The sequence below is a fragment of the Homo sapiens genome, chromosome 7 (assembly GCF_000001405.40).
Source record: "Homo sapiens chromosome 7, GRCh38.p14 Primary Assembly".
NCBI lineage: Eukaryota > Metazoa > Chordata > Mammalia > Primates > Hominidae > Homo > Homo sapiens.
Window position 1 is genome coordinate 77,924,290 of NC_000007.14, and position 21,218 is coordinate 77,945,507.

At 37.5% G+C, this 21,218-nt stretch overlaps 1 protein-coding gene across 22 annotated transcripts in view; it reads left to right on the forward strand.

The window, feature by feature from the left end:
• Positions 1-21,218, forward strand: part of PHTF2 (putative homeodomain transcription factor 2) — a 158,732-nt gene that overhangs the window by 125,517 nt on the left and 11,997 nt on the right. For 9 of the 22 annotated variants that reach the window (NM_001127358.2, NM_001366081.1, NM_001395272.1 and 6 more), the window contains 5 exons: positions 4,820-5,038; positions 13,421-13,549; positions 15,741-16,013; positions 16,239-16,370; positions 18,411-18,497. In NM_001127358.2, the coding sequence (NP_001120830.1) occupies positions 4,820-5,038; positions 13,421-13,549; positions 15,741-16,013; positions 16,239-16,370; positions 18,411-18,497 (840 nt within the window). Of the gene's footprint in view, positions 1-4,819; positions 5,039-13,420; positions 13,920-15,740; positions 16,171-16,238; positions 16,371-18,410; positions 18,498-21,218 lie in introns of those variants that run through there. The other 13 variants (XM_011516422.4, NM_001366084.1, NM_001366087.1 and 10 more) reach the window with 7 other exon arrangements.

Consider the following 21,218-nt stretch of genomic DNA (forward strand, 5'->3'; position numbering starts at 1 on the left):
TGAAAAAATCATTTGGACCCACTCAAACACAATGAGCAAGCATCTCTAGTACCTAGATTGTGCCATTTATCACTAAATAACCAAAACCAAAAAAAACAAAAACAAAACAACTTCTTGAAGAAGTGGCTGATTCCTGATTGTCGTTTGTTGCAGGAAATATACAAAATGACTGTGGAACCTCTTATAATATGATAGAGGGCAAGGAAGCTATCAAAGACTACCAAGGTCTTTTCAGAAAGACTTGGGAGCCAAAGATAGAATAGTTTGAACTTTAATTTTTCTTGATAAAAGTATTCCAATGATAAATGAAAAGGAAAATTCTTTGGGGAAGTATTTTGTGCATGGATGGGATTGGTGGGTTTTATTGTAAGATAATGGGTCAGGAACCTAGCCATTTGTTGTAAGCTTCCCAGATGGCAATATCTGTAGATAAACTTTTTAGGGGCATCTATTTTTTAGGGAAGACTTATCCAGTCTTCTGGTGGGATGGGGGTAGTAGATAATAAAACAGGCTGCTCTGGTGTTTGGCACCAAGGGAACTGGGGATGAGATGGGGATTTTGTCATTTAATGTGTAGACTTTCATTTAATCCCCGGTTTTTGCCTTTTTCTACTATCTACTGTATCTGGTTGACTTCTTCCAGTGTTCTGTTGGGAGGAATTACTTGGTTATCTGGGATGCAGGAGGCGTCCTAGGGAACTGACAGCTTCTTTTAAGTGTTTCTTCTGTTACCTACTCTGTCCTGCTTTGTTCAGCTCTACAAATATTGTTCAATTTTTACTCCCAATTGTAGGTTAGCTTTTCATCCCAGAAAGGTAACATTTGATGAGAAGCGTAATGAAGAAACCATGGGCTTGGAGTTAGATTATTAAAATGACCTTGGGAAAATTATTTAACTTCTGAGTTTTTTAAAACAATTTTCCTTCCACCCCCCAAGAAAGCATTTATAAGTCCATATTCCCTTCAAATAAATACTATGTGTTCTCTAAATCTCATTATATGTTCAGTTTTAGGCGTCTAAAGATTTGACATGACTAGCAGTAGAAACCAAAACAAATGTGTTTTAACTTGAACTGTTCAATTCTAAAATTTTCTTTTTTTAGACTTTATTTGGTAATTTTTAGTGATATTCACTATTAATCACACAAATATTGTAGGTAAAATTCTATTTGAAATTTAGGCAATTATAGGCAATAGTTTTTAGGGTTTTTTTTTTTTTTTTTTTTTTTTTTTTTTTGAGACAGAGTTTCACTCTCCTTGCCCAGGCTGGAGTGCAGTGGCGCCATCTCGGCTCACTGCAACCTCCGCCTCCCGGGTTCAAGTGATTCTCCTGCCTCAGCTAATTTTTGTATTTTAATAGAGATGGGGTTTCGCCCTGTTGGCTAGGCTGGTCTTGATGCACCCACCTGGACCTCCCAAAGTGCTGGGATTATAGGCGTGAGCCACCACTCCCAGCCAGAGTTTTAAATGTATAAAATGACCCACTTGGCCGGGTGCGGTGCTCATGCTTGTAATCGCAGCACTTTGGGAGGCTGAGGCGGGCAGATCACGAGGTCAAGAGATCAAGACCATCCTGGCCAACATGGTGAAACCCCGTCTCTACGAAAAATACAAAAATTAGCTGGCTGTTGTGGCACGTGCCTGTAGTCCCAGCCACTTGGGAGGCTGTGGCAGGAGAATCACTTGAACCCAAGAAGCAGAGGTTGCAGTGAGCCGAGATCACGCCACTGCATCCAGCGTGGTGACAGAGTGAGACTCCATCTCAAAAAAAAAACAAAAACAAAAACCCACTTACTAATCTGCATTTGGCAAAAAACACTTCTAAAGAATTATAGATATTTTCTTAATCCTGAAATCATTAATTAGTTTCCGTTAAAGTCATCAGGCCTTTAATCCTGATTAACAAGTCTGCAACAGACGTTATATATAATAAACTATCTTTATCACAAGTTTTAAATTAGCAATTATTAAAAGCTTAATGTGTTCTGTGCCTTGCTAATGAAAACTGGTGACATTAGAGAACCTGAAATATTTTTGGAGTGCTGTTCATAAAACAGAGCAGAGTGATTTTTGTCCTCTTTTTCTTTGTATATTTGTTTTTACTTATTAATCATTTTCTTCTCTTTTGAAAGTTTTTCTTTTTACTTCTTTCTAAATAAACAGCCCTCCTCCCACAAACACTCTATTAACACACTGTAGATTCACAGTCCCCATTCTAATATCAGTAGATTAATTATTAATAATGTACCTCATTCACTCAAGGTATTTTGTTACCTGTGGTAAGGAGATGGCCAAAAAAAAAAAATCTGTCTTTTGTGGACTCGTAGTATATTTAGATTTACAATCTATTTGAGAATATTAAACACATGAATATTTAATTGAGACAGACAATATTGGCCGCACATTCAGTGGCTCACGCCTGTAATCCCAGCACTTTGGGAGGCTGAGGTGGGCGGATCCCTTGAGCTCAGAAGTTAGAGACCCGCCTGTGCAACATGGCGAAACTCCATCTCTCAAAAAAAAAACAAAGTACAAAATTTAGCCAGGCATGGTGGTACACGCATGTAGTCCTGCTTCAAAAAAAAGAGGCCAGGGCCATGGCTCACCCCTGTAATCCCTGCACTTTGGGAGGCTGAGGTGGGCTGATCACTTGAGGTTGCGAATTCCAGACCAATCTGGCCAATATGATAAAACCCCATCTCTACTGAAAATATAAAAATTAGCCCGGTGTGGTGGCGGGCTCCTGTAGTCCTAGCTACTCAGGAGGCTGAGGCAGGAGAATTGCTTGAACCCAGGAGGTGGAGGTTGCAGTGAGCTGAGATAGTGCTGCTGCACTCCAGCCTGGGTGACAGAGTGAGACTCCATCTCAAAAAAAAAAAAAAAAAAAAATATATATATATATATATACATACACACACACACACACACACACACAAACACACACATACACATAAAGAGAGAGATTGATTGTGGAAAGCAGTACAAAATTTATTATCAAATGAATATAAATAATAACTCACTTCAGGCCGGGCTTGGTGGCTCACGCCTGTAATCCCTGTACTTTCAGAGGCCAAGGTGGGTGGATCACCTGAGGTCAGGAGTTCAAGACCAGCCTGGCCAACATGGTGAAACCCCATCTCTACTAAAAATACAAAAATTAGCCAGTCGCAGTGGCATGTGTCTGTAACCCCAGCTACTCGGGAGGCTGAGGCAGGAGAATCACTTGAACCTGGGAGGTGGAAGTTGTGGTGAGTGAAGATCACGTGCCACTGCACTCCAGCCTGGGCGACAGAGTGAGCCTCCATCTCAAAAAATAGTAATAACTCACTTCAGGAACAAAGTGATCACTCTAGGTAGGTGGCTTTAAGGTAGCATTTGTTGAGCCCCTGCTTTGTGCCAGGTTTGTATTCAAAGTTCCCATGCTCATTTAATTTTTAACAGCTTTTTAAAGGAGTGCAGGATTAATGATAAGAGGTAGGAGCATAATTAAGGCCTAGGGTGGAACATAATCAAAGCAAAGAACAAGCCATGCTTAGGGGCTCAGAAGTAGCCTACTGTCACTGGAGTAAAAGGTTACGGTATGTAGTGGAAGACAAGGTCAAAAAGTAGCACATATGAAGATGAGCATGCTAGGTGAAGGAATCGGAACTTTATCCAGGAGAGCAGTGAGAAGCCAAGGAAAGATTTTGACTAGAGGAGTCAAAGAACAGCTGTGCTTTAGGAAGGTTAATCTGGAAAGAAGAGGAAGGCCTTTTAGGCAAAGATCAATTAGGAGGTGCTTATAGCAATGAAGGTATAAATGATAAAGTCTGAAGTCGGTGATAGCAAAGGAAAGACAAAAGGATAAATATAATGCATTTTAAAGGTACATGACAAATCTAGTCACAGAGGACAGCCAAAAAAAAAAAAATTGAAGATACCTGGCCATAAGGATGACTATGACCATGATTTATTCAGTAAAAGTTTTTTAATTAATTTAAATCAAAATTTTACTCATCTTTATTTTGTACATTGCAAACTCCCAGGATAAAGTAAACTGATTAGAAATTACTTAACTTGTTTTAATTTTTTACTTTTATACCACAGATTATCTCAAGAACATGAGTTGGCAGTTACCTTCTTGGTTTAAATATCAATTTTATGTTGATTTCACTTCCATTTGTGAAACAAAAACAGTAGATAAATCCACTCTTGCTTAAAAAAAAAAAGACTAGAATAAGAAAATACAGTCATTCCTGGGTATCCACGTGAGATTGGTAGATATCCGGCCCTTCTATAAATACCAAAATCCAAGGATTCTCAAATCTCACAGTCAGCCCTGTGGAACCTGATGACACATAAGTCAGCCCTCGCCCTCCATTTCTCCAAAACTGTGGGTTCTGCATCTCAGGAATATTGTATTTTCTATCTGCAGATGTGGAATGCATGGATATGGGAGGCCAATGGTATTGCCATTAATAACATCAATTAAAGTCAGTTAATGTTCACCGTGCAGACCGTATGAACTTAGACTACTTAGACTACTCTCTCTGCCTACCTGAGTTGTGAACTTCATATAAAATTTAAGAGAAAATAGATACAACCTTTGTATGCAAAGTAATATCTGAGCTGAAATATGAAATCAAATAAATTTTGATGTGAAGGTATTTTGTTACTGAATAAAAGCTAATATATTTTGTAATGTTTTGCTGTCTCACTATCTTTTGAGGGTGTATTTGTTGTTTTAGCAAAAAGTATCAATATATGGGTTCTGATAGTATCCTTTGAGTTGGAAAGAGTACATAAATTGTATTAATGTCAAAGAATATCTTGATTTCAGGACGCCCCTAAATCGGGTACTAGTTGCAGCTCTCGCTGTTCAAGTTCCAGACAGGATTCTGAGAGTGCAAGGCCAGAATCTGAAACAGAAGATGTGTTATGGGAAGACTTGTTACATTGTGCAGAATGCCATTCATCTTGTACCAGTGAGACAGATGTGGAAAATCATCAGATTAATCCATGTGTGAAAAAAGAATATAGAGATGACCCTTTTCATCAGGTTGGTTTATGGTTTTGGCTTATGTGGAGCTATGAGTCAAGCTCCTTTGAATTTATGTTCAAATGTTACAGAGGTGAAGAAAAAGCTTACATTCAAGCTTATATTTCTATAATTTTTTTTCTTTTTATGTGAGCTGTGGTCTGGCTTCATCAAAACATAGAATCTCAGTACTTATATTGTGGTTATGTATGTTCCTGAAAAGTTATTGGTAACTGGAGTTTCGTAAGTCAAATCGTGTGTTAGGTGCAATAGTACTTTCTTACTGAACATACTTTGTGGCCAGATGCATGTACACCTTGGTCTAAACTCCACCTATAAGATTATATTCACAAATCTACATCTCATGAATATCAAATTTGTAGCTCCAAGTGCCCATAGTAATGCTATCCAATGGAAATATTATGAGAGTCAGATGTATAATTTTTAATTTTCTGGTAGCCTCATTAAATATTTTTTAAAGGGGAAATTCAAATATGTTTTATTTAGACCATTATATTCATAATATCACTTTAACATATAACTAATATGAAAAAATTAATGAAATATTTTACATTTTTAATACTAAATCTTCAAAATCTGGTGTAAACACTTAGAGCACATCTCATTTTGGACTAGCCACATTTTTTTTTTTTTTTTTTTTTGAGATGGAGTCTGTCCCTCTTGTCACCCAGGCTGGAGTACAATGGCACGATCTTGACTCACTGCAACCTTCGCCTCCCAGGTTCCAGCGATTCTCCTGCCTCAGCCTTCTGAGTAGTAGGGATTACAGGCGCCCGCCACCACACCCGGCTAATTTTTATGTTATTAGTAGAGACAGGCTTTCACCATGTTGGCCAGGCTGGTCTCGAACTCCTGACCTCAAGTGATTCTCCCACCTCAGCCTCCCAAAGTGCTGGGATTACAGGCATAAGCCACCCTGCCCAGTCGGACTAGCCACATTTCAAATGCTGAATAGCCACATGTGAGGAGGGTACTATATTGGACAGCACGATTTTATAGGATATCTTTATTTGAATGTCCCACCAATACCTCAAATTTAACCAGTCCTCCCTCATAAATCTGTTTTTCTTATTCCATTCAAAATTTTGGTGAATGACATCTCCATTCATCTACTCACTAGTCCAGAAACTTGGTGGTCATTTAAAATTCCCCTCTTCTTCACCTTCTCTCTCTTATCCAACTCCTTATCTAATCCTGTCAAACCAAGTAAAGTCAGAAAACTCGAGAAAAAAAAGAGAACTTTCAATCTGATAAAAGGGTGATGCATAGCTATCAAAGAACCTTCTGCTATAACAATCCCAGAGGCTGGGTGGCTTAAACAACAAACATTTATTTCTCACAGTTCTGAGGCCTGGAAGTCCAAGATCAGGGTGCCAGCATGATTGGTTCTTGGTAAAGGTTCTCTTCCTGGTTTACAACAGCTATCTTATCCTTGTATCCTTACACGGTGGAAATAAGGGAGCTCTGGTCTCTTTACCTCTGTCTGGTTTTGGTTGGAGTTAGGCTGATTTAAAGTCCATATTAAAGAGCAAAATATCAAGAATAGCAAAAACAATTTTGAAGAACAACAGGGATCTTTCCCTACTGGATATAAAAATTTACTTTCAATTTAATACTCAAGATAGTATAGTATAGACATATAAACATATATACCGATGGAACAGAATAGAAAACTCAGAAATAGACATTTGTTTATAATGGATCACTAATACATGACAATAAGTGGCATTACAAGTCAGTAGAAAAAGAACGGACTATATGGTTGTGAGTCAAATGATTATACACTTGAAAATTTATTCCAAATAGTTTCTAAAGGTGAAAAGCGAAACTTTAAAGCATTTAGAAGAAAATACAGGAGAAAAATCTTTATTACTTCAGGTTAGAGAAGAATTTTTAAAAACAAGATATAAAAAGCACAAACAAAAATGGAGAGATAAATTTGAATATCTTAAGATTTAAAACTTTGGGCGTGTTAAAAGATGAGCCACAGGCTGGGAGAAGATATTTCCAATACATTAACTATCACAGTGTTACTACATACAGGACATAAAGAACTCCTACAGATGAATAAGTAAAAGACAAATGACTCAATAGAAAAATAAAAGGATGTGAACAGGTCCCCTGATGGCTAATAAAATATAAGTGAAGATGGTCAGCCTTGCTATTAGTTAGGGAAATGTAAATTAGAACAATTAGATACTACTTAATATTGATCAAATTGTCAAAATTTAAAACCTGATAAATTTCAATGTTGGCAAGAATGTGAAGAGAGAACTCTTTAATACTGATGTTTGTTTGTACAGCTACTTTGAAGAGCAGTTTGTCATTATATAGTAAAGTTGAAGTTCTATATATTCTAGGACCCTTTCATTCCAATTTAGAATGAAACTTTAGAAGATAGGCACTATCATTGCATTGTGCATGATAGTGAAAGTTGAAAATATAATAGCCAATAATAGTGGAATTAATAAATAATGTTGTATGATAAAACAGTATACAGCAGTGAAATTGAATGAACTCGGCTGCATGTATCAACATGAATAAGTTTTTGAATATAATTTTGAATGAAAAAGGCAAGCTGCCTTTACTTTAAATAACCCTGTCTCTACTGAAAATACAAAAATTAGCCAGGCGTGGTGACAGGCACCTGTAATCCCAGCTACTCTGGAAGCTGAGGCATAAGAATCACTTGAACCTGGGAGGCAGGGCTTAGCAGTGAGCTGAGATGGCGCTATTGCACTCCAGCCTGAGCGACAGAGCGGACTCTGTCTCAAAAATAAAATAAAAAATAAAAAGGATGGCTATGAATGTTTAGAAAAAACAAAGTGGTAATTAGGGAAATTGAGCTGGAGTGTTTTGGTGTTGACTCCCTAATATATGAGATATTTGAAAACATTGATATATACAGGAGAAAACAGGTAGGGAAGAATCAAAGAGATACGGAAGAAAATGTTGACTGGTGGAATGATTTCTTAGGATTCTGGAGGGGAATCATAATCAGGAAGCTTAGCATTTGACAGGAAGAGGAAAACATCCTCTGCTGAGATAGGAGGATAAGGATGAGTGCATGCAGCAAGCAAGATGGTAAGAGAGTTATTGCCTGATGATCTTTTTTCCGTGAAGTGCAAGAGTCCAAGGGATCTACTGGCAATAAGCGAGATGATACAAGAGGAGGCTTTTGGATGGTGGTGAAGGCTTTAAGTTACCATTTGTGGAGAATGGAGAAAGGGGACAGAGAGAGGGAGAGAGAGAAAGAGGAAGAGAGAGAGAGAGAAAGAGAGAGAGAGAGAGAGAGTGTGTGTGTGTGTGTGTGTGTGTGTGTGTGTGTGTTCAAGCCAATGAACACATCAAAACAATCATACTGCCTTGCCACATTGTTGAGGGTCCAGCTGGAATCTGAAACCATGAATTTGTAGTTGCCTATTCTACACAGCTATGTGATGTTTTCTGGAATGTAGTTGTTACTATATCTGACATTTAATAAGCATTTACTTATGCCACACACTGTGCAAAGTAATCTAGTTGCATTATCTCATGTATTTAACCTTTACAACCTGTGGTAATGTAGTTTATTTTCATTTTACATTGCTCAGAGTTGAGTAATGTGCCCAAAGTCACACAGAGTAAGTGTTCAATAAATAGTTGCCACGCCTGTAATCCCAGCACTTTGGGAGGCCGAGGCGGGTGGATCACAAGGTTAGGAGATCGAGATCATCCTGGCTAACACGGTGAAACCCCATCTCTACTAAAAATACAAAAAATTAGCCGGGCGTGGTGGCGGGTGCCTGTAATCCCAGTTACTCAGGAGGCTGAGGCAGGAGAATGGCGTGAACCCAGGAGGTAGAGCTTGCAGTGAGCCGAGATGGCACCACTGCACTCCAGCCTGGGCAACAGAGCGAGACTCCGTCTCAAAAAAATAATAATAATAAAATAAATAAATAAATAGTTGCTCTTCAAGGGACAGGAGAGGGGATGATTGAAATGGTGGATCTGGTGGCAGTCTAGTCATTAAATTGTTAGATTGAGAAGGAAATGAAATCAGGAAGGGACTGATAAATTTAAGGATAGGTGTGTTCAAGGGAACAAGTGTTTCAGAATTGAAGCTTTGAGAGACCAGGTAAGATGGGAAGTTGTAGTAGATTCCTTTCAGAAGTAGAGCAGTTCCGTATGGTGACAAGGTCTAGGGTGTGGCTGTGGGAGTAGCGTCCTTGGGATTGAAGAAATGAAAAAGTGAACAATCCATGAAAGCATAGGGTGTTGAATGAGTCATCTGCATATTCATCTAAGTCACTGAGACTAACAACTGGAGTTAAGATTGAGGGAAATGCCTGTGAGCTATTTTCCCAGAGATAACTATAAGCAGCATAAAAGCAGGGACCATGTGTTTTTTTTTTTTTTTTTTGCTCAGTGTTGTATCACACAGCGTGAGGTACACAGTAGGTATTTAATAAATATTGAATGCCTGAAACAAAATTAAATTTTTTCAAAACATGCCAATTAGGCCTTTCTTAAATGATTTAAAAAATTGTTTTATGATGTCTGTGCAGAGTAAATTGCTCCTAAGTCTGTCACACCAGTCGGCTACCTTTTTGGTAAGATAAAATTTGTTAATGCTCTACTCTGTATATCTAATTATGGTATCCTAGGCTTATATTGGTTTTGCTTTTAGATTAAAGACTTGATCTTAAACAGATTTTTAATTCTCAGGTTTCAAAAAATAAGCTCATGCTTTTAGTTTTACTAGTAGCTAAGTAATGGAAATTAGCTCCCTTTTACTAAAAAGCTACTAGTTTTTTTTCTTGTTTAACCAGTCTGTTAGGTTTGGAAGACCTTTTTCTGTCTGCTATACAGATGGAAAAATCCCTTCTCATGAAAAAACACTGAGCATTTGAATTAGTATGTTCTAATCAGAATATTCCCAAATGTGTATCTTTATTTCATTGTTTTATTTTGTTTGTAAATAGTAATTGAAACATTTCCACAGAAGAAAATTTTTCTCCTATAGCCCTCCTCTATAGCTGAATATATACTAAAATATAAAGCTATATTCAGCTGAAATTCAGTTTTTAGTAAGTGTAAAGCTTTAAATGGCTGCATTCCCACAGTTGGAAACACGAGTATGTGGTTGGCATGGTGAATTTATTTGAAATAAAACATGCCACCATTTAAGCAATAAGGTTTTCAGGTAGTTTTGAATGAATAAGGAGCAAAGCAGTTGAGATTTTAAGTGAGGATAAAGTATAATCATTTTAGAAGTTCTAAATTTTTGGATCTGTGATGCTGTCTTCAAAGGTAAAAAAAAATTTTAAGTTCTAAATTTTAGTTTGAAAACATATATAGCGGCCGGGCATGGTGGCTCACGCCTCTAATCCCAGCTTGGGAGGCCAAGGCGGGTGGATTACTTGAGGTCAGGAGTTCGAGACCAGCCTGGCAACATGGTGAAACTCCATCTCTATTAAAAATACAAAAATTAGTCGGGCATGGTGGTGGGCACGGTGGCAGGCACCTGTAATCCCAGCTGCTCAGGAGGCTGAGGCATGAGCATTGCTTGAACCCGGGAGGCGAAGGTTTCAGTTAGCCAAGAACCACACTCCAGCCTGGGCAGTGGAGCCCAACACAGTCTCAAAAAAAAAAAGAAAAAAGAAAATGTATTTAGAGTAACCTATGTGATAAAATTATAAAATGAAATTATTTGCTCTGATGTTTTCCCTGAACCTTTTAAAAAAAATTTCATGTGATGCTGTTCTCCACACTGCAGACATGATTCAACAAGACTGTTTTTCAGTGTACATTCCCCCCCCCCACACACACACACAGAGGAATATAGCAGTCTTTTTTATTTATTTTTTCAAGTTTCTACACACAACATTGAACATGTAATTTACCCTTTTTTTTTTTTTTTTTTTTTTTTTTCAGACGGAGTCCCACTCTGTCGCCCAGGCTGGAGTGCAGTGGCGCGATCTCGGCTCACTTCAAGCTCTGCCTCCCGGGTTCACGCCATTCTCTTGCCTCAGCCTCCCCAGTACCTGGGACTACAGGCACCAGCCACCATGCCTGGCTGATTTCTTTTTGTATTTTTAGTAGAGACGGGGTTTCACCGTGTTAGCCAGGATGGCTACTATCTCCTGACCTCGTGATCCGCCCACCTCAGCCTCCCAAAGTGCTGGGATTACAGGCGTGAGCCACCGCGCCCGGCGTAATTAACTCTTTTAAAATTCACCAGTTTCTAGTTGCTGTCTTCTCTTTTGCCTTTTGGCATTCTAGAAATAATGTAATATCAGATGCTGGATAGAGTAATTGGCAAGGTAGCTAGATGTAAAAGGAGTGCTTTTGGGAGGACAATGAGAATGTCCTGATTTCCTATTTCTGTCTCTAGATGGGCTTTCTTGGTATTGATATTCCTTTCTTCATGTAATTAGGAAGACCTTAATTCACTATTCCAGACTGAGAGTTTAAAAATGTCTGTAAATCAGTGGTTGAAATCTGTTGGCTCTCAAGCTTAAACTTCTTTCCTTTTAGCTTCTTGCACTTCCTGTTTCTGGCTTTTTGGTTTCCTTACGCTTAACAATTGTAAAATTTCTAGTGAAAGTTTGATACATATTTTGGTACAGATTATTTCTTTCCCAAAACAGAATATTTTGTTTGGAGATAAATGAGGAAATAACATTTGAGAAATTAAGTTGGTAGTTAATAACTAGTATCTTAGCACTCTTCAGGACCTCAAGTAGTGAAATGTATACCATGAAAGTTAAAGTATATTAAAATCCTTCATCTCTAGAAAAGATAAAAATTTCCCACCTCTTTTTTTTTACATTATTGAATTATTATTATTCAACTTTAGTTGAAATTAATCAATGCAACTTTACTCCCCCTAGAGGAAAGTGTTAAAAGTTTACAAGAAACATTTTTTTTACCATATTTTAATCACATTTTTGTCCTCTAAAGAATAAATGTACCTAGAGTAGATTCTTCTGTTCATTGTTAGAAGTTATATTTAATGAAATATTTTATAAAATTTGAGGTTGCTACGAATGCCAAAACTATTGTTTTTAGAAAATGTGGGAAGTGGCCAGACACCGTGGCTCACGCCTGTAATCCCAGCACTTTGGGAGGCTTAGGTGGGCAGATCACAAGTTCAGGAGTTCGAGACCAACCTGGTCAACATGGTGAAACCCCGTCTCTACAAAAATTTAAAGATTAGCTGGGCGTGGTGGTGGGCGCCTATAGTCCCAGCTACTTGGGAGGCTGAGGCAGGAGAATCACTTGAACCTGGGAGGCGGAGGTTGCAGTGAGCTGAGATCGCACCATTGCACTCCAGCCTGAGTAACAGAGCAAGACTCCGTCTCAAAAAACAAAATGTGGGAAGTATATGAGTCCTTAAAAATACACTAGAAATACTGCAATATAAACAAGCAAACTGATCTCTATCTGGGTTTAATCTTTTAGTGTTACTTCTCCTCTTGAAGTCTGATTATATAAAGGTTTAGTGTTTCATTAATTTTGTTGCCATCATTAACTCAACTGTTCTGTTTTGGGGCTGGGCGCAGTGGTTCACACCTGTAATCCCAGCACTTTGGGAGGTAGAGGCCGGTGGATCACCTGAGGTCAGGAGTTAGAGACCAGCCTGGCCAACATGGTGAAACCCCGTCTCTACTAAAAATAAAAAAATTAGCCAGGCATGGTGGCAGGTGCCTGTAGTCCGAGCTACTCAGGAGGCTGAGTGCTTCAGTTTTGTAATATTTGCTTTATCTGGAAAAAAAAAAAAAGTTAAATGGGTCCTTTGGAGAAATGCTGGATTAAAATATCAGAAAAGTAACTAAATCAGATATTAAACGTTAAATATGTAAGGAAGAGTCTTTTTTGGGATAAGACTAGCACTATATGGTCTTTCAAAGAGATTCAAATCTCAGCTGTCATATTCTTTTTTAATGATCATAAGTTGGACAATGATTACTATGAACAAGTTGATATCCATTTGTCTTTTAGCATTAGTATATTGCAGCTGTGTAGACTGACAACTAAGTACTTTTGCTGACATGTTTTAGTATATTTTTGAACATAGGTTGACTAATACTTGTTACAGAAAGTTCTCAACTTGTACAGTTTCATAACCATGTAACTTCTTATGATATCTGTTCAGTGTATATGCTAACTAATTTTAAGATAGAATTTTAGTGTCTTAGAGTTGTGTGTATAAATATATTAGCTGTGCACAGATCTATATATTCCATTTATAAAACATGATAAATATATTCACCAATTTTTATTTTTAGTGTCATTAAAATTGTGTGTGTATATAGAGATATATATACAACTTTATATACACACATTTTATTTATTAAATGTGATCTATATATTTACTAATTTTTTTTTTTTTTATAGAGTCATTTGCCCTGGCTCCATAGTTCCCACCCAGGATTAGAAAAAATAAGTGCTATAGTATGGGAAGGTAATGATTGTAAGAAAGCAGACATGTCTGTACTTGAAATCAGTGGAATGATAATGAACAGAGTGAGTTTTTAAATTTTATTCTTGTAGTTCAAGGGTAAGACTTAGTAATTATATATAAGATAATTACTGGAATATTATATTAGTAACCTTCTGACCTCATTTCTTCACCCTGAAAAAAAAGTTACATGTGTGTATTTGTTTCTGTCTGTAATTTAAACAGTGATTTGTCACCAAACCACTCTCATCTTCTAGTGTTTTCACTTATCTGACCAAGAATAGATGATACGGTCTATAATTTTTCTCTTTTATCTTTTTCTTTCTTTTGAAATTCAGGAGCTTGTTAGATATATACAGGTGTTAATAAAGACTTTTCTTTGGACTAGAGATTGTTGTTACAAGAACTTTAAAAATAAAAAAATAATTAAAAAGACTTATTTTTCTGTATCATTCTTACTGGTTCATTTGTTTAATAGGACTTAAGACATGAAAAAATCAAACTAGTAAATTTGCATTCATACTTGCTTACCTACTTAAATATATAGAAGTAATGCAGATAGTGGTAAAAGTCTTGAGTAGTTCAAAGAAGTCTAATTGAAATACTGTGGATTAAAATTTTATTTTCTATTATTTCTTTTTTCAGATAATTACTGATTTTTAAAATGTGTTGATTGGCCGGGCGCGGTGGCTCACGCCTGTAATCCCAGCACTTTGGGAGGCTGAGGCGGGCGGATCACAAGGTCAGGAGATCGAGACCATCCTGGCTAACATGGTGAAACCCCGTCTCTACTAAAAATACAAAAAAATTAGCCAGGCGTGGTGAAACCCTGTCTCTACTAAAAATACAAAAAATTAGCCGGGCGTGGTGGCGGGCGCCTGTAGTCCCAGCTACTCGGGAGGCTGAGGCAGGAGAATGGCATTAACCTGGGAGGCGGAGCTTGCAGTGAGCCAAGATCACGCCACTGCACTCCAGCCTGGGCGACAGAGCGAGACTCCGTCTCAAAAAATAAATAAATAAAAATAAAATAAAATAAAATGTGTTGATTTCTCTGGACTTGTTTTTAACTTGCAATTTCTAAATTTCTTTGGTGCATTATTGTGCTTGAACTCTTCTCCACACTTTGTGTAAGACAGGAATTATAATAACTGGGTCTAGAAATTGATAATACTCCCTATAACATATCTCAGTGTGAGCAATTAAAAGCAGTTGACGGGGAAGTCTCTGGAATCTTGGATCTAGTTTGTGCTCTGTAACTTAATTACCTGTGAATTGGCAGATCACTTAACTTACAATGGTCTCATTTATCTAATATATATTATAAAAAGTTGGCTACATGATAGTTAAGATCTCTTTTAGTTCTGCCAGTCTAGCATACTGGAAGCTTTTATATTGTCCCATTATCTAATTTCCTTTTTTAAAATAATTCCCTCACCTTTTTCCCTTTCTGTTTAATTTCTTCTTCCTTCTATCATCTCTCTTCTAAAATGCTTTTAGAGTTTAAGGAGACACTTATTTATATATTGGACTATTCAAAGAGAAATGTAAGCGGCTGGGTGTGTTGGCTTATGCCTGTAATCTCAACACTTTGGGAGCTAGAGGAGGGATGATCGCTTGAGCCCAGGAGTTAAAGACCAGCCTGAGCAACATAGTGAAACCCTGTCTTTACATCTCTACAAAACCCAAAAAATTAGCTGGGGGCGGTGGTGTATACCTGTAGTCCCAGCTACTAGGAATGCTGAGTTGGGAGGGATCACTTGAGCCCATTATTGTGCCACTGTACTCCAGCCTGGGCAATAGAGTGAGACCCTGTCTCAAAAAAAAAAAAAAAAAAAGAAAACAGAAAGAAAACCTCAAGTTACAAATGTACAAACGTATGAAATAAGTGTAATGCTGAGTTTTTTCTTCAATGAACTGAATTTCAGTGGATATGAGATCTCATTCTCTTTAATATTGCAGTATTTATGAATATTTCTAACTTGAAATAATGAAATACATAAATTTTTTTCAAGATCTGGATGACAGTCCTTTTGCCATCTACTTAGTAAATTAGCGATCTGATAATTGTTTTTAAGATCTGAAGAATTAATGACATTTTATATGTAGTAGGCTCTCAAACTTGAATGGGATTCAAATTACTCAGAATGAGTATATTTTAACAAATGATTTCATATTGCTATAAATAATTCTACTGTAGATAAAATTTATGGTATAATTTTATTTTTCTTTTCTCTCTCTTCCCCTGGCTCCCTCAAGGTGAACAGCCATATACCAGGAATAGGATACCAGATTTTTGGAAATGCAGTCTCTCTCATACTGGGTTTAACTCCATTTGTTTTCCGACTTTCTCAAGCTACAGACTTGGAACAACTCACAGCACATTCTGCTTCAGAACTTTATGTGATTGCATTTGGTTCTAATGAAGATGTCATAGTTCTTTCTATGGTTATAATAAGTTTTGTGGTTCGCGTGTCTCTTGTGTGGATTTTCTTTTTTTTGCTCTGTGTAGCAGAAAGAACTTATAAACAGGTGGGTATAATGTAGACTTCCGAATAAGAATATTTTATCGTTTTCATAATATTAAAAGTATTCCTGAAGTACTTTATTATTTCATTATATCATTTTTACCTAATTATTTTTTATTTTGCTTTTATAGTACCTAACCAAATAAAATCTTAACAATTCATATTTTGTTAATTTTGTTTTTCTGTGGTAATCTACTTGAAAATTAATCCTCATCTTAATCTTTTTTAGCGATTACTTTTTGCAAAACTCTTTGGACATTTAACATCTGCAAGGAGGGCTCGAAAATCTGAGGTTCCTCATTTCCGGTTGAAGAAAGTACAGAATATAAAAATGTGGCTATCTCTCCGTTCCTATCTTAAGGTAGAATGGGAGTGATAAAAGTAGCTTTAACATGCTGGCCCTTTCTGATAGTTCCAGTTTCTTTATCAATATATATTTGTCTCTAGATGTATAGTAACCAGCTTTTACTCATTCAAAAACTGGATTAGGGATTTTGTTTCTACTAGCCTGGTTGTCACAAGCCAGCAGAGGGAGCCCACTACTTAAAAAAGAATTTAAAAAAAATAACCAATGAGTTTCCTCACAGAAGTGACCTATTACTATTTTAAAATATTAGTTTGCAATTCAGTGTCATTCTTTTCATGTCATTATTTTCCTTTAATCTTTTGAGTAATTTTCCTAATTATGGAAGTATGATATAAAAACTCTGGAGGGAAGAGGGAAACATCTAAATTGGTTTTAGGAAAACACTTTTTTTCTGAGGATTACTTCTTGTTATTGCATTAAGTAGCAGTAGAATGTCATTATATATGGAGTAATCATGCAAATTCCAATGATATTTATTCACAGCACTGTCTGTATCTTAGTAAAGTTGACCTGAAGACCAATCATCCTCTGACATACCTAGATCTTTAATGCTTTATATTTTGAAATAATAATCAAAGAAGCCCTAATAATAATAATGCCCTATTTCTCTACTCTTATATTTAAAAAATTCATTGTTCTGTTTATTAATTTAACTTGTTAAATTTAGCTTACTTAGTGTCACTGCTGCAAATTGGCATGGATATTTTTTTCCTATGACATATCTGTTGTATGGAGGGATGAATCTGATCGCTTGAATTCGTCCAAAATTTCCTCCATTGTCAACCCTAAGCAGGTGTTACATTCTTTTGTACATTGATTATTTTATTCCGTAAACACTTATTTATGTTAACCATGTGCCATTCATTGTTGATGAGATGAAAGCCCCTACCCTCATACGTAAGCTTATACTTCAGTGAGGGAATGTAAGCCCAGACCTAGGAATTATCCTAGTTTAATCTCTAGTCTCCAATTTATCACCAATTCCTATCTTTTCTGCTCCCAAAATATATCTTGAATCCATTTGCTTCTCTTTGTTCCATTTCTGCCACCCTCATTGAAACCATCAATCATCTTCTACCTCATGCTACTTCAGTTACCTCTTACCTGGCATTCCAGCATTCACATTTCTTCTTTTCATTCCTTTCTTCAGTCTGCCACCAGTGATCATTTAAAAATGTATATTTGGCCCTATATTCTTAAAACTTTTTGGAGGTTCTTCATTTCTCTTAAGATAAAGCACAAAATCTTAACAAGGTTTATAATGCCCTTTATGATCTAAGTTCTCCCTTATTCACCTGTCTTTTGTTTCATTTTGAAACACTCTCCTTCCTAGTCCACTACATTCCAACCATTTTAGACTGCTTCCGTTCTTTACATGAGCTGTGATCTGTCCTGCTTTATGTTCTTGCACATGCCCTTCCTTCTACCTAGAACACTGCTGTGTGCCATCATGCCCCTGCCCCTCCCCCTTAGTTTGGTGTAAATATCACTTCCTTAGGGAGATCTTCACAGGCCCGCACTCCTAACCCTCAAATCTAAATGAAGTCTCCCTGCCAAGTATCTCAAAGCATCCTATGTCTTTCCCTTTTAGCACTCATCACAATTTATCACATATATCTGTGATTATTAACTTGATGTCTCACTCCCCTCCTAGTTCCTGTGAAGGTAGAGGGACCATGTGTTGTTCTCTGTTGTATTTGTAGCACCCAGCACAGTATCTAGTGCTAAGCAGGTGCTTAAGAAATATTTGTCGAATAAATGACTTGTGTTTGACAAAATGAAGTATTTGAAAGTTATACCAATAATTTTATGCTATATAAATATAGATACCCTTTTAACTCTGTTGCAATTCCTCAGGAAATCATAACACTATCATTAAAATTTGCCTAACAAATTAGGTATATTCAACATTGTGGGCTGTGATCAACTGATGGTGATGAGTCAACACCTTTATTGAAACCATGGAAATTATCTGCTGATTAGTAAATATATTTTAAAATGTTTCCTTTTCTCCCTTCCACCCACACCCTGCAGCGTCGAGGTCCTCAGCGATCAGTTGATGTAATAGTTTCATCTGCTTTCTTATTGACTATCTCAGTTGTATTTATCTGTTGTGCCCAGGTGAGTTAACTCGCTCCATGTAGAAATTAACCAGATATATAAATATTAACTTTCAGATTAATAAATAATCAAATAATAATATAAGTAAGCCTAGTTAGAAAGTAAGTTTTGAAGTTACCTTTTTGCAGTTTTTTTGGTAGAATAAATAAGTGCATCTTATCTCTGTGCCATGAACAGTGAGCATGTATGCTCAAATGTCTGTTGAATGAACACAGATTAATTAATTTTTGCCTAGAATCCTTCTCATTATCTTTACTTCCCAAAAGAAACGTATGAGTTATGAAATTGTCCCATGAATATCCAATTTATTCATGTTTACTATTCTTTTCTTTCTTTCTTTCTTTCTTTTTTTTGAGATGGAGTCTCGCTCTGTCGCGCAGGCGGAGTGCAGTGGCGCGATCTCGGCTCACTGCAACCTCCGCCTCCCGGGTTCACGCCATTCTCCTGCCTCAGCCTCCTGAGTAGCTGGGACTACAGGTGCCCACCACCACACCCGGCTAATTTATTTTTTGTATTTTTTTTAGTAGAGACGGGGTTTCACCGTGTTAGCCAGGATGGTCTCAATCTCCTGACCTCGTGATCTGCCCGCCTCGGCCTCCCAAAGTGCTGGGATTACAGGCGTGAGCCACAGCGCCCGACCTATTCTTTCATTTTTTATACCTGAATTGTTACTGTGACTTAACTGCTGCATACTCTGAAAAAGAATTTTTAGTGACCCAGCTTAGTTAGGGAGTACAAAAGTATCTCAGGATATGCACTGCTATAATGCAGGGGAACATGTTCTCAGGGTCTCCTGAGGGTTGTGTCATGGGCCGTGTAATATTAAAAAATAAGTTTAAACGTATTAAAATTTTAAAAACAAAAATAATAAAATATATGCAAACCTCCATTCCAAGTAGTATGATGTACTAGATTATCTGAAAATTCTTCTACTTTAAAACATCAAACAGGCCGGGCACAGTGGCTCACACCTGTAATCCCAGCCCTTTGGGAGGCCAAGGAGTGCGGATCACCTGAGGTCAGGAGTTCGAGACCAGCCCGACCAACATGGTAAAACCTCGTCTCTATTAAAAATACAAAAATTAGCCGGGCATGGTGGTAGGCGCCTGTAATCCCAGCTATTCAGGAGGCTGAGGCATGAGAATTGCTTGAACCCAGAAGGCGGAGATTGCACCACTGCACTCCAGCCTGGGGGATACAGCAAGACTCTGTCTCCAAAAACAAACAAATAAAAAAAAAAATCAAACAATGCTCGGGGGAACCCTCAGCTTTTGAATGTACATATTGTGTACATATCTGAGTTCATAAGATAATAAAGGGCCAAAAATGAAGACAAAACTGAAAACCAGAGCATTTAAGAATAAGCATTAATGCTATGGCAGCATGAGAATAAGAGAGTGAAGTACATTGCCAGTATTAGTATTGTATCCCAGAGACTTGAAATTTTATGCCCACGTAGGACAGGAGATGAGGCCTTGACCTGTGTACCTCCCTACTCACACCATGAAGTCAAACCCTCAAAGATCTACAGCCTCAGTGAAAAGTTGGATAAGAAAAACAGTCTGCTCACCAGCACTGGACGACAAGAAGGAAGCTTATCTGACTCTGGATGACAAGGACGGGGGAAAAGTCTCTTCTAAGAATATATAATTATAACTCTTCCCTTACTACAGGTTTAGGGTTCATATTGACATTATACATCTTGTCCTGTAACCCTCATGTCAAAAAGTTAATATAAAAAGTGGTCCTAGGCCCCTGGATACCTGACAGAAGCAAAACCAAGGCTGTTTGGAGGCATGCGACTTCAGCCTAGACCTCACGGGAACCACAGATAAAGCTCCTTCCGGTATCAAAACATAGGAAGAAACAGTCTAACATGAAGGAGTCAACAGATAAACCCATAGCAGGATTAGATCTCCAGCTATTTCAGTTTGATCAGGTGGAAACTAAGTTTGTTTACAGTGATGAAAGACATAGATAACACTGTGAAAAAAGAACAGATAAGTTTGAAAAAGAACTTCAGACAAATGAAAAATACAGTTATTGACTTTTGACTTGTTTTTTGCTTTTCACTGCTGGAACAAAGTCACTGACTTTTAAAACACAATGAACAGAATAAATAGCAAATTAAAGAAAGCTAAAGACATAGTGAACTGGGAGGTGAAAGAAATGACTAAAATACAGGACAGAGATAAAGAGACAGAAAATGCAAAATGGATATTTAGACATCGTGGGAGATCCAACATAGGTCTAATAAGAATTACAGGAGGAGGCTGGGTGTGGTGGCCCACGCCTGTAATCCCAGCATTTTGGGAGGCTGAGGCAGTCAGAGCACTTGAGGTCAGGAGTTCGCAAGCAGCCTGGCCAATATGGTGAAACCTCTCTCTACTGAAAATACAAAATTAACTGGGCATGGTGGCTCGCGCCTGTAATCGCAGCTGCTCGGGAGGATGAGGCAGGAGAATCGCTTGAACCTGGGAGGCAGAAGTTGCAGTGAGCCAAGGTCACGCCACTGTACTTCAGCCTGGGCAACAGAAAGAGACTGTCTCCAAAAGGAAAAAGAATTCCAGGAAGAAAGAATGCTGAAAAACAACATTTGGAGAAATAATGGCTAAGAATTTTTCTGAATTGATGACTTTTTTTTTCAGATACAAGGAAGTTTATAAAACTTTCCCATGTATTAGGCAATAAAGTAAAAACTAATACCAAATGTCTGATACT